This window comes from Homo sapiens, chromosome 10 (assembly GCF_000001405.40).
Source record: "Homo sapiens chromosome 10, GRCh38.p14 Primary Assembly".
Lineage (NCBI taxonomy): Eukaryota > Metazoa > Chordata > Mammalia > Primates > Hominidae > Homo > Homo sapiens.
The window spans coordinates 34,108,696-34,121,389 of NC_000010.11; the positions used below are offsets into that span (position 1 = coordinate 34,108,696).

Sequence of the window (12,694 nt, forward strand, 5' to 3'; positions counted from 1 at the left end):
TGTAGTGACAGGATGAGCGTTGCTATGACAACCCACTGATGCTAGGTGCTCCATAAGAGGGCATTTTTGACAGGTCCTCGCAAAGTCTGCCATTTGTGTGGGGACCAAATCTCCTATATTTGTGCACTAGACATACCTAGGGACATAGCACCCTTTATGCCTTCAAAATGCCGCATGCATATTTGTGGGCGTCCCTCTTAAAGAAATAGCAAAGCCTTACTTTGTAATTTGGGAAATAAGAACCAGGTTTGTACTGGAAGTGGACTCGAATCTGGACCTTTCTCTGGGCTCACAGGACTCAAGGCCAGGACTCAATCAAAACATCTGGCTTGCTAGGATGATTCCAAGGGTCCAAAGGGCAGTCATGGGACTATCATGTCGCTTTCTGCATAATTTTTCATTCATTTAGTTCGAGCTGTACTGGCTCCTTCAATTCAGAACTCCTCAGGCTTCTTCAGGCAGCCTGGGCCTTGCAGTGGACTCATGAAGGTTCTTGTCTCTCCCCTTCCCCTCTCTCCTCAGGTGCTCAAATACGCAATCAACCACCAGTTCCTGTGTTTGCAAACTTCCCACTTTGAGACTTCCAACTGTAAGACTGTATATTGTCTTAATGGACTAAGAGTGAGAATGATGTCATAATGGGGACCATCTTTTCCAAGGGACAGGTGAGTCCCCCCTCTCCATCCTCATCCAAGAGTGGGCCCCAGGGTTCTCCTGCCCCCTTTCCTGCAAACTTTCCTCAGATGTGAGGAAACTTCCAACTTTCTCTAAATATAAAAAAAAAAAAAAAATCACATCTGTTAATAGACCTTTTAAAAAAGCCCAGCTAGGCAAGGCTGCCCAGGAACACCAGAGACACCAAAAGAACAGGAAGAAATATGCCTTTTATTAGGAGTTGCATATGTACAGAGAAAGCTGTTTCTCACAGCTCAGGGGAGGCTGTGAGAAAGAGCCACTGTCATCCAAGGTCACTGCGCGTACACTGGTAACACCACTTAGACACCGCCGCACGTGATTAAGAAACAGAACCATGACACAGAAATGCAGAAGAGACACGGGTACGTGTGTGGACACATCATTTCTAAAAACAAGTCAACACAAAAATACAATGTGCCAATAAAAAAAAAATAGACATATCCATACATGTCTTTTTTTCTGTTTTTAAAGTAAATACATGGTATGCTGAGCTTTCACCTCCAGCTTTTTCCACATCGGGATTCACAGGCACTTTAGCACCCCAGCCATGGTTTACAATACAGGATGTTCAGAACAATGAAGGAAGATGGGAGCCACCGAGATCCCCGAGACCCACACACACACTCTAATACTGACGCGAGAGTGAGCTTCCTGCCACCACCGCTGTGGGACCCGAAAATGTTCTCTGTGTGATGTGTAACGGCTTTTCCTTTGTCTTTTATGTTTCATGGCAGAACTACTTAGGAGCGCGGCATCGCCAGTCAGACATGCAGTGTGTGGATGCATTAGACAAGCATCAATTGCCTCTGACTTGAAAAACCGTAGAGAGCAGATCAAAATGACTGTCTGGTTTATCTCTGTCCCATTCTGTGCCCTTCCTGACAAGCTGTCAGAACAAAAACTAATTAAAATAATTACTAGGATGTACTGGGCCATGAGCTCTTCCTAGGAGAATTTCTTTCTTAGCTCTCCCCTCATGATAGACACAGGGCCAATGGCAGGCCCAGCTTCCCCCGGCAGGAGCCACTCCTGTCTCCCACGTTCCCCACACAGAGCTGTGGTGACTCAACCCACGTGTCAGGAACAGGACCGAACAAGCGTATGTATAAACGCAGACCAGGATCATCACTTTATTGGTAATGTTGAGTCATAAGGCAGTTACAAAAGGACCCCCATGGTGACCAAACAATGTTGGACTATGGCTTAGCTTCTGTAATAGGATGACCGACTCTCCCGTCACAAAGAGCTGAGAAAGGAAAGAGAAAACCACAGTGATGACAAAGTACGACAAATGGCTGTGCTGTGAAGTACCAGAAAGCCCCAATTTTTGGTGTATGTCGCCCACTTTTCCTCCACCAGAGACTAAGATGTCATCCCATAGCTAAGAGAACTTAGAGGGAGAAACAGGGCCGCACGTCATCCTCCACTTCAGGTGAATTTGTCACTGCAAGTGGTGCAGGGATGTTACAACCAAGCCGCGGACAACTCATGAGTAGGGCCGAGATTCCTGGTACTGTGGAGAGGCGCAGAGCATATGAACACCTCAAACAGATGATTGTCACAGGGTGGGAAATCCTTCCATGAAACAGACACTTGAGACATAGTGGCAAAGACATTAAGGCCTTCCATTTCTTTGCCTACACCGCTTAAAGGCACTGATACCAACAACAGAAATACTCCATAGTACCATCGAGGTTTTAAAAAAACTCCCAAAATACAAGTCTTCATAGGAAAATGTCTTTTATTGCGCGACATGAAGCATCCGTTATTTGCGTGCTCAGGAATAGAAGGGCCTCCCTTTCTCAGGAGTCTGAAGTCTGTTCAGCCTCGCAACCTGAGAAGGGGAGGGGGGCACATCTTGCCGGAAGGGCCCCTTGGGAGGGGCGTAACTGGGGTCCTGGACTTTCTTATACGAGTCATAGTTGCTGGGCCCCTCGGAAGGAGGCTGCTTCTTCATCTGCTGCTCCTTCCGCCTCTGTTCCTGGCGAAGGAGCTCCTGAGTTTCCAGCATGACCCTGGCGTTGAAGCCATGTCCTCCCAGGTAGCCGTTCCTGGAGCCTTGGTAGCTGGAGTACCTGGGGTTCTCTTTGGCACTCTGGAAGCCTTCCCCAGGGGAGTAGTTCTGCTCCCAAGAGTCCTGGGAGACCGAGCTGGCATTTTTCCTGCTTTGCCTAGAAAGCAAAACCCAAAGGTTAGTGTGAGGGTAGGAAGAAGGAGGGAGAGGGAGGAAAGGGGGCAGGATGGGATGGAATATGCATTTTCACTTTTCAACAAATATTCCTGTTCTCTCATCACATGCCAGACACTGCGATAGGGGCTGGAGAATTCAAAAATGACTGTCCTCAGCAAGCGCATAGTCTTAGACAACTAAACTAACAACGAGTAAACAGGAGAGAGAACTAGACTGTGCAGCTATTTAGAAACAGGGTCATCCTCCTGTGTCTGAGAAGGTTGTGTCTGTTCTGCTTAGGGTACCAATATCTCCTGCAATTTAGACACACTGGCAAAGTATAGAAGTATTAGAGGTTTGGCAGCTTCCATGGTAGGAATAATTGCTCGCTTTAGAACATTACAATTCAATTCTAAACAAGCACAACAAATATTTTACACAGCTGCCACCATAATGCCAGAAGCGCTAGCTAATATGAAGTACATGTAATGGATTACAGTATGAGTTCGGTTATGAAAGATTTAAGTCTAGACTCCTTTATGATAAAAAATGCAACAGGCAGTCCCTTAAAGCTCTGGCTTTCAAGTTGTGTATGTCAGCAACTTACACTCTCCGGGATACCTGCTCATCCAGATTGGACGGAGAGTCCGGAAGTCTGTAAAGTAAGCACTATTTTCTTATACATTTACCTTCACCAAAGGCCAGGGTGACCTACTTAACTTGCTTTCTGTCACCCCAGGATAGGCAAGTAAATCAGAGTCACATGGAAATTTCAAATTCTTCCCACTTCTGCAACAGAGTTGGGCATGATTTCCAGGAAACATTATTGTTTTGAAACATCTTTAATTTACTATCAAGTCTCTAGATGGTTTTATGAATTTACAATAAGATTGGCTATGATGAAATAAAACAATTCTGTGCCAGAAAGGAAGACATGCCCTAATTTTTTTGCCTTGAAAATGGAAGAGGGGGAGAGACAATTGAGTAATAAAACAAAGTATATTGCTCCATTTATCAATAAGAAAATCATTTGGCGACAGTATGTATTGCTCAACCCTCTCCATCAACACACACAACACAGCTGAATGTTCACAAAGATTTTCACGGAAGGAAAAGAAGGTCTGGGAAGCCACTGCATCTCCCGCAGGAATGATGCAATTTGCATTTTTGAACATTCACAATTGCATCAATATGGTTTGGAGTGAAATGCACCCATTTTCCATATGGCCTAAAATGTAGTTGGGAACATTTTCAGTAAAGAAAATGACCATAATGTCCAGCATCACCTCTGGCTATGACGATGACTGGATGAGCATTCCATAGCATGTCTGTCTCTTTTAACGGAAGACTGCACCATTTGTACAGTCAGCCCAGGCAAGAATCCTTAGATGTGATGGAATAGTTTATTTGCCTAAAGCACTGATTATCTTCACTTAAGTCATAAATTAATCTACCCAGAGACAAGACTGTTGGAAAATGCCGGCATGAAACCAGGGATTTGACATTAATCATGAAACTTTAATTAAAACAAGGAACTTGTGACTGATATTACAGCAACAAAAATGGGATTCTTTTATGAGTTATCAGTTTGAAGATAATCAGAAATAGGCTGCAGACATTTCACCTCTTTTTCATCTCTGGCCTACTAAGATCCACCAACCCCCTTCCTCCCCAGCTTCATGGAGCCCCAGGCTTCGCTCTACGGCAGCTGTGCACCCTAAGTGGATTCTGCATCATCCCCGGAAGACACAGTCTTTCTACATTTAAACAGGGAGAATTCACTAAAGGTTTGTTAGGGATGGAAATTACAACAATGTGGGAGAACCAATTTTTTGTAGCTAAAATTTTCTTCAAATTAATCAGTATAGAGAGAAGGAAGCAGACTGCCCTGAGGTCTGAAGTAAGATATGTGGGTAAAATGCACATAAGACAGAAACACACACACACACACACACACACACATAGACACACACACACATGCGCACACACACAATTCCTTGGTAAGGAAGTTAGCAGTATCTATATGCTCTTGATTAAGGAGAGAATGAGAAATGGGCCAATTGTAGAGACCAAGGGAAGGAAACAGACAATAAGAGTTTCCTACACTAGGAAACTAAGCATCCAGCTGGGCAAGGTGGGAGTGGCTTAGGCTTAGAGCAACGTAGATTCAAATCCTGAGCCTGCCACTGGCTGGCTGTGTGACACTGGGCGAGTTCTGCTCACTGGGCTCAAGTTACCTTACCTATGAAACAGGCATAATCTCTAACCCTGAAAGGTTGTGGGGAGAAAGAAATGAAATAACACATGTAAAGTGCTTAGAAAAGTGACTTGCACTCAGTAAGTGATTGACTAATAGGTCCCGGAGGAGTAGTTTGAAGACAAAGTCACTCTGCCTTCAAAGATTAGGCTCTGAGCCTGGGTGTGGTGGCTCAGGCCTGTAATCTCAGAACTTTAGGAGGATGAGGTGGGAGGACTGCTTGAGGCCAGGAGTTTGAGATCAGCCTGGGTAACATAGTGAGACCCCATCTCTACAAAAGATGTTTTGAAAAAATTAGCCAGGTGTGGTGGTGGGTGCCTGTAGTCCCAGCAACTTGGGTGGCTGAGGTGGGAGAATTGCTTGAGCCCAGGAGGTCGAGGCTGCAGTGAGCCGTGATTGCACCACTGCACTGCAGCCTGGGTAACAAAGTGAGACCTCATCTCTAAAAGAGGAGAAAAAGAAAAAAAGGCTCAGGACTTAGGGAGGCATCTTTTTGACCAAAGAAGAAAATTGTTTTTAATTTAATTTAATTATTTTGTTTTTGAGACAGAGCCTCACTCTTTTGCCCAGGGTGGAGTACAGTGGTGCAATCTTGGCTCACTGCAACTTCTACTTCCTGGGTTCAAGCGATTCAGCTGTCTTAGGCTCCCAGGTAGCTGGGATTACAGGAACAAACCACCACACCTGGCTAATTTTTGTATTGTTAGTAGAGATGGGATTTCACCATGTTGGACCAGGCTGGTCTTGAACTCCTGAACTCAAGTGATCTGCCGACCTCAGCCTCCCATAGTCCTGGGATTACAGGCATGAGCCACTCTGCTCGGCCAAAAATTGTTTTTTAAAGTTAGCTTTCCCTTCCTTGGTTGGAGGGATTGAGTAGAGATGCCAAGACACAGAAAAGCATCAGAGGAGAAAGGAACCCTTACTAAGCGAGGGCAACTTTGGCACACTGCTGCAGAGATCAGACGGAAGCCCATGTTCTTCCCACTGTCCTGTGAGCCCTTGGCTAAGGCCATGGGTAACAACAGCAACAAAATATCAATCTCCTTTCATTGAATTTCTTTATAACCAACATATAGGATTGTTTGGTCCTGCAGTGAGCCCCTGGACATTGCTAAATCCACTCAAAGCACTTACCACGTACCATGGTTTGGCAATAACTATCACCTAAAGATTATCACCTAAAGATTACAACCACCTCCAACATGGCCTGGAGACCATCAGCATGGAGAGGACTCAAACCAAAGATCTGATGCCCGAGGAAAGCCATTAAGCCACCAGGATGAGGGGGACACAGACAGAAGGAGGAAGACAGAGGGAGCGAGGCTAAGAAGTTGGGAAGTAGATTGGAGACATAACAAATGGGCCTCGTGGAGAGAACGCGGGAGGGTGCAGAGACACAGCGTGGAGGGTGAGGTATACAAGGCTTTCGAGGAAGTCAGACCACAGCAGACACGGAGCCGAGGGAGGGGAGAAAGATGAAGAAGAAATGGAGAGGCAGGAAAAGAAAATGAAGGGAAACACCAAACCAAGAACCTTATTTCTCTCTACCAGTGCCTGTGACTACGCACGCCTCTATTCCTTTTGGGGGCTGCCTTTTGGATATTAAGGAAAGAAACTAATTTAGGAATTAAAAAAAGATGATGTCAAAGGGTACAAATCTCAATGACAGAGGAGCAATTTTTCTGTTCTACTGCACAGCATGGTAGGTATAGTTAATAACAGAGTATTGTACATTTCACAGCTGCTGAGAGAGTAAATATTTGAGGTGATGGATATGTTAGCTAACTTGATTAAACTTAATTAATTCTTTTATGCTATATTCATAAATCATAACATCACTTTGTGCCCCACAAATTATACAATTATAAACTGTCAATTTATAATTTTTTTCTTTTTTTTTTTTTTCTTTGAGACGGAGTTTTGCTCTGTTGCCCAGGCTGGAGTGCAGTGGCGCGATCTCGGCTCACTGCAAGCTCCGCCTCCCGGGTTCACACCATTCTCCTGCCTCAGCCTCCCGAGTAGCTGGGACTACACGCGCCCACCACCAAGCCTGGCTAATGTTTTGTATTTTTAGTAGAGACAAGGTTTCACCGTGTTAGCCAGGATGGTCTCGATCTCCTGACCTTGTGATCCGCCTGCCTCGGCATCCCAAATGCTGGGATTACAGGCGTAAGCCACCACGCCCAGCCTATAATTTATAATAAAAAATAAATTATTTTAGAAAAAGAAAAACAAACAAAAATCCTATTCTGATTGAGAACTGAGTGTGGGGCCACCACACAGGTCCCTTTTCCTGCCAACTAGTGTTACCACCTGGCCAGTGTTTCTCATTGACATGCCAAAATGTAACTTGATTTCTGTCCATAGAGTTTCTTACTTACAGTTAGAATTTACAAACCACTCTTTCTCATATACATGCCTCTAATTCAAACCACCTTATCTAATGCAACGGATACAAAGCCCAGACCATTTGTTTTATTTTACGCTCCACTTTGTAACTATACTTTTTTTCTGTGTGTAATCTTTTTGGTTTCTAATGCCATACCAACTTGTTTAGACAAAACTCTGTTAATTGTCAACATCCGAAAAGCAGAGGTCAAGTGTCTTTGAAGAATATCACATGTCAGAAACTTGGACTTGACTCAAGCTCACGGAGGTGGTTGCAGTCCCCCCTGACCTCCTGTTTGCTTTCTTTCCCTTCCCTCAGATCTCTGCACACAGCCTGCCACAGAGTGGGGCTGCTTTGCAAGGCATCAAGCCGAACGCAGGGTTCTATGTTCCTAATCTCCCTCACAAACAGGAAGATTCTCATTGATAAATTGTTCTCTAAAGGAAGACAAGAAGATACTGCAGAAACCTACCAGCCTCCGCTGCCCAAACTTACATAACTCTTTAATTTGAGGATGTCTGCTTTTCTCATATCTAAATAGGATAAAATGACTAAAAATAGGGAGCTACAATTAACCCAGAGGGAAAGCTGTAGTTATTTAGGGCACCACTAAATAACAGCGGAGGCACTAGCGGTAGCGGCTGCAACCCTCCTCTGCGTGTAAATATAGATATCTCTACCAGGCGCTTCCGCAGGGAGAGGCGGAGAAGGGAAGAGATGTCGGGGCTCAGAGTAAAGAAGGGAGAGGAATGGGAAGGCGAGGATGAAAGGTTCGGCGGGAATGCATGAGCTACTTTGGAATGCAACCAGGAGAAATTCAGTGGAAGCACCTGCCTCTGTCTTTTGCCTCTTCTGAGGACTGGGACCCAAGTGCCCCTTCTCCCTGGCAACTGCCCTGCCTTCCCGGCCCGCCCACCGCTCTCTCTCCCACCTCCCTTTCTCAGCCCTTGGCAGCTCCCACATCACTGCTCTCATTATACACACTTTGTTATGTTTCTCCTTCAATCCTTAGAGACACTCTCAGGCACGGCCAAAATATATGAAGCCAAACAACTGGCCAATAAAAATAAGAACACAGCCCCTGCCCTGACAACACCATCCACACAAGCTATGAAGTGCCCTGGCCCACCCGTGTGGTCGTGCAGGGAGGGCCATGCCAGGTGGGCCAATTCGTCCACACTGTCAGCTCACCCTTCCGATGGAATGCAGCCACACAGACTGGAGGGCAGTGGGGAGGGGGCAGGGGGGTAGCGGAGTGGGGGATAGGGTGGATTTTACACAGACCAACCTTGATGTCTAATTCTTCAAGTGCTTAGGCATTTGATTCACTGGGTTGATTCACACAGTGACCTCCTTCTAAATGCTGAGGGCAGGAGAGCACTGAGGGGAACTTTGCACCTGTTAATATCCCAAATTTGGGGCCAGGTGTGGTGGCTCACACCTGTAATCCCAGCACTTTGGGGGGCTAAGGTGGGCAGATCACTTGAGGCCAGGGGTTCGAAACCAGCCTGGACAACATGGCAAACCCCTTCTCTACTAAAGATACAAAAATTAGCCAGGCGAGGTGGCGCACGCCTGTAACCCCAGCTATTTGGGAGGCTAAGGCATGAGAATTGCTTGAGTCTGGGAGGTGGAGGTTGCAGTGAGCCAAGGTCGCGCCACTGCACTCCAGCCGGGGCAACAGAACAAGACTCTGTCTCAAAAAATTTGGGAACAGAAGCCCTTGATAGCAACGGGCCTTATAAAATCATGGTTTAGGGCATGGGCAGATTCAGGTTTGAATGCTGGCAAAATGACTTGCTAGCTGTGTGAGCTGGGGGAAATTTACTTACTCTGAGCTGTTTCCTTGTAAGATAAGATTATCTCAAAGGTCCTATAAAGACCAAAACTTTAATGACTCTTACCTACAGCAGGCTAAAGAACCTGGCAATTCTCCTCTTTAAAGGAAAAAATAATTTAGTACTCAAAGGGGTTTTATATAGCCTTATGGATTGAAAAAGAACAACTGAATGAATAAACTGCTACAATAGATGGCACTTATCCCCATGGAGACTCATTCACATCCATGTCCCCTTGGCTGACCTGTATCCATGTGGTGAAGTCCGTTGTGGTTGTTACAGTGATTATTTAACATGTAAAGAAATTCATCTTTTCGAAACAGGGTCTTGCTCTGTCACCCAGGCAAGTGCAGTGGTGTGATCTCAGCTCACTGTAACCTCTGCTTCCCAGGCTCAAGCGATCCTCCCATCTCAGCCTCCCATGGAGCTGGGATTACAGGCATGTGCCACCAAGCCCAGCTAATTTTTGTATTTTTTTATGGAGATAGTGTTTTGCCATGTTGCCCAGGCTGGTCTCGAACTCCTGGGCTCAAATGATCTGCCTGCCTCAGCCTCCCAAAGTGCTGGGATTACAGACCTGAGCCACCGTGCCTGGCCAGGACTCATCTTTATTAGAAATTGATCAAGATCACTCTACACTGGTCAGTCAAGATAAGCATTTGTCTCCTAACTCCCTAAAACTGTTTTGCTCAAAGTCAAAAGTCTACCTGATATCAACATGGCAAATGAATCTTTTCCCACTTAAAATATGTCTTTGTCACCTGATTTTGAAATACAGCAACAAATGCCTATAAGAATTGTGACTACAGGAGTCACCTGTTTTGGGAAGTTTAAAAAGCTGAATGTTTTTCAACATTTTTATTCTTTACTATGCCTGGAAGAAAAACTTTGATGGAAAAATAGTTACTATTTCAATGTACTGGCACTCAGTCACCCTGAGACCCTTGCAGGCCTTTGTCGGAGAACTGGGCCAAGGCGTCTCCCCTGGGGAGCAGGCAAGTAAGGGTTTCTTGCTTGGTTCCCAGCTAACAAGCTCAACATCCCTGAGACCCTCTAAAGTTAAACATGGGTGAGAGCAGTGATGATGGGACAGTAAGAGAGTGAGGTTTGGGACCATGGATCCCACACAACCACGGCGTATGCAGCACTGACTCTCGATCCTTTTATGGAGCTCTGGATTTATGAAGTATCATTTATTCTAATAACCATATGTGCTAAGCCAAATAAGGGTTATCTTCCCATTTTTCAGATGAAGATACTGTCTTGTCCACACAGGAAGCAGGAGAGCCAATACTAAGAAGCCAGTACACGAGTCGCTTCACTTTTTTAGGGAGCTTGTGGGTGAAAATACTGGCATCTCCTGCAATGGGCATTTCCCCTGGCCTCGCAGTACGACAGCCCCCCACGCTAAGGAACAGTAGCCACGGGACATTTATTGGTTCCTCTGTTGCTACCAGGGGCAAGCTGGAGAGGCCCCAGTGACTTGGGAAGGAGCGCGTTCCTAAAGGGCGGGGGATCTTAAAGGGCCGGGGGGATCTGGAGGCTCGGCCAAGCGTCCTCATACCGAGGCAGAGAGCTGTACTGGCGCTGGGCCTGCTGGGAGCTCTCGCGCTCCTCCTGCCGCTGCCGCTGCATCTGCACCTCCACGGACACCGAGTGTCGCCCGCTCTGCGTCGCCGGCCGTGCGTTCGGCTGGAAGAGGAAAATACAAGCACATCGTTAACCAGAAAGTTCTGTACAGATCACACAACTGGTTGACTCCATTTCGATTCTTATGAATTGACTTTGAAAATTTTGAAAATTCTGTGATTTGTTTTTCAAAATCGTTTCTTTGAGAAAAGTGGCATACATATATTTGCTCTTATGAGCCCATAAACACTCAATTTTCTTAAACTGTGATTTTGGCTTTGGCATGTGGTTTAAATTGAAGAGATCAAACTTTCTAGTCTTCTTTAATTTTTTTTTTTTTTTTTTTTTTTTTTTTTAGAGATGGGATCTCACTCTGTCACCCAAGCAGGAGTGCAGTAGTGCAATCATGGCTCACTGCAGCCTTGAACTCCTGGGTTCAAGTGATCCTCCCACCTCAGTCTCCCGAGTAACCGGGATTACAAGCACAGGCCACCATGCCTGGCTAATTTTTTTTTTTTTTTTTTTTTTGGTAGAGATGGGGTTTCCCTATGTTGTCCTGGCCTCAAGCAATCCTGCCTCAGCCTCCCAAAGTGCTGAGATTACAGGTGTAAGCCACTAAACCCAGCGTCTAGTCTTTATAATGAGGCTTGGTAAATGCTGACATAAGACACCATTTACCTCTCTCCAGAATACACAGAGCAGATACAATAAGAATGAGGCTCTTCCAAAAACTAGAAGATGTTAATGCCAAAAATAAATAAATAAATAAAAATTTGCTACAACTCTCAAAAGAGGGAAAGTCCAGGAGTGCACACCTGTGAGGTGGCCATGTTGATGAATTTTGGGGGGTAGGTATATATTTTAGTTTTACAGCAGGATACAGTATAGCTGATTCCCTTTCTAGTACAGGATGACAGTGAAATTTTAAGCCAAGATTAGTTTAAACTAGGTACCAACAGGTCTCCTGCAATCCACAGATGGCAGCCAAACAGGGAACAGAAATGCCTATCAAAAGAACAAACCCAAAAGCTACTCGCTACTTAAATTGGTTATTAGGTAATGCATTTTACCTTAGTTATTAGGAAATGGCAATTTACCTAAGTTAATCATCCCCTATAGAGAACACTTCAATCCTTCTAACTAAATACTTTGGTTAGCACTCCATTTCAGGAGTTCAAGACCAGCCTGGGCACCACAGTGAGACCCTGTCTCCACAAAAAAATTTTAAAAATTAGTCAGGTGCAGTGGCACATGTCTGTGATCCCAGCTACTTGGGAAGCTGAGACAGGAGGACCGCTTGAGCCTAGGAGATTGAGGCTGCAGTAAGCCATGACCGTGCCATTGCACTCCAGCCTGGGTGATGGTGCAAGACCCTGTCTCAAAAAAAGAAAAAAAAAAAAGGAAAAACGAAAAGAAAGAAAAGAAAAAACATACTTTGGTCAGCAAGTCATCTGGTGATTGGTGCTTCTCACCGAAATCAGATTACTGAACGTGTATACCGCATGGTATAGATCAGGTTTCTGGGATGCTTCAATTTCTCACTGACAATGGTTACCTTACCTTCTAGATCTGGCCTTTTGAAATAAAAGTAGCTGTGCTCAAAATATACAATGGTGCCTCTACATTTATGAAACATCCCAATGGTTTGTCACAGCATCAGCAGTAGGCCCCTTAAGTGATCCTTTTCAGTACTCGCCACCCTCAGTTCCCCC

General features: G+C 45.2%; 1 protein-coding gene across 8 annotated transcripts in view; it reads right to left on the bottom strand.

The window, feature by feature from the left end:
• Positions 866–12,694, bottom strand: part of PARD3 (par-3 family cell polarity regulator) — a 705,736-nt gene continuing 693,907 nt past the window's right edge. For all 8 annotated transcript variants that reach the window (NM_001184790.2, NM_001184791.2, NM_001184789.2 and 5 more), the window contains 2 exons: positions 10,918–11,045; positions 866–2,867 (listed from right to left, as the gene is read on the bottom strand). In NM_001184790.2, coding sequence (NP_001171719.1) covers positions 2,474–2,867; positions 10,918–11,045 — 522 coding nt within the window. In that variant the 3' untranslated portion in view covers positions 866–2,473. The remainder of the gene's footprint in view (positions 2,868–10,917; positions 11,046–12,694) is intronic.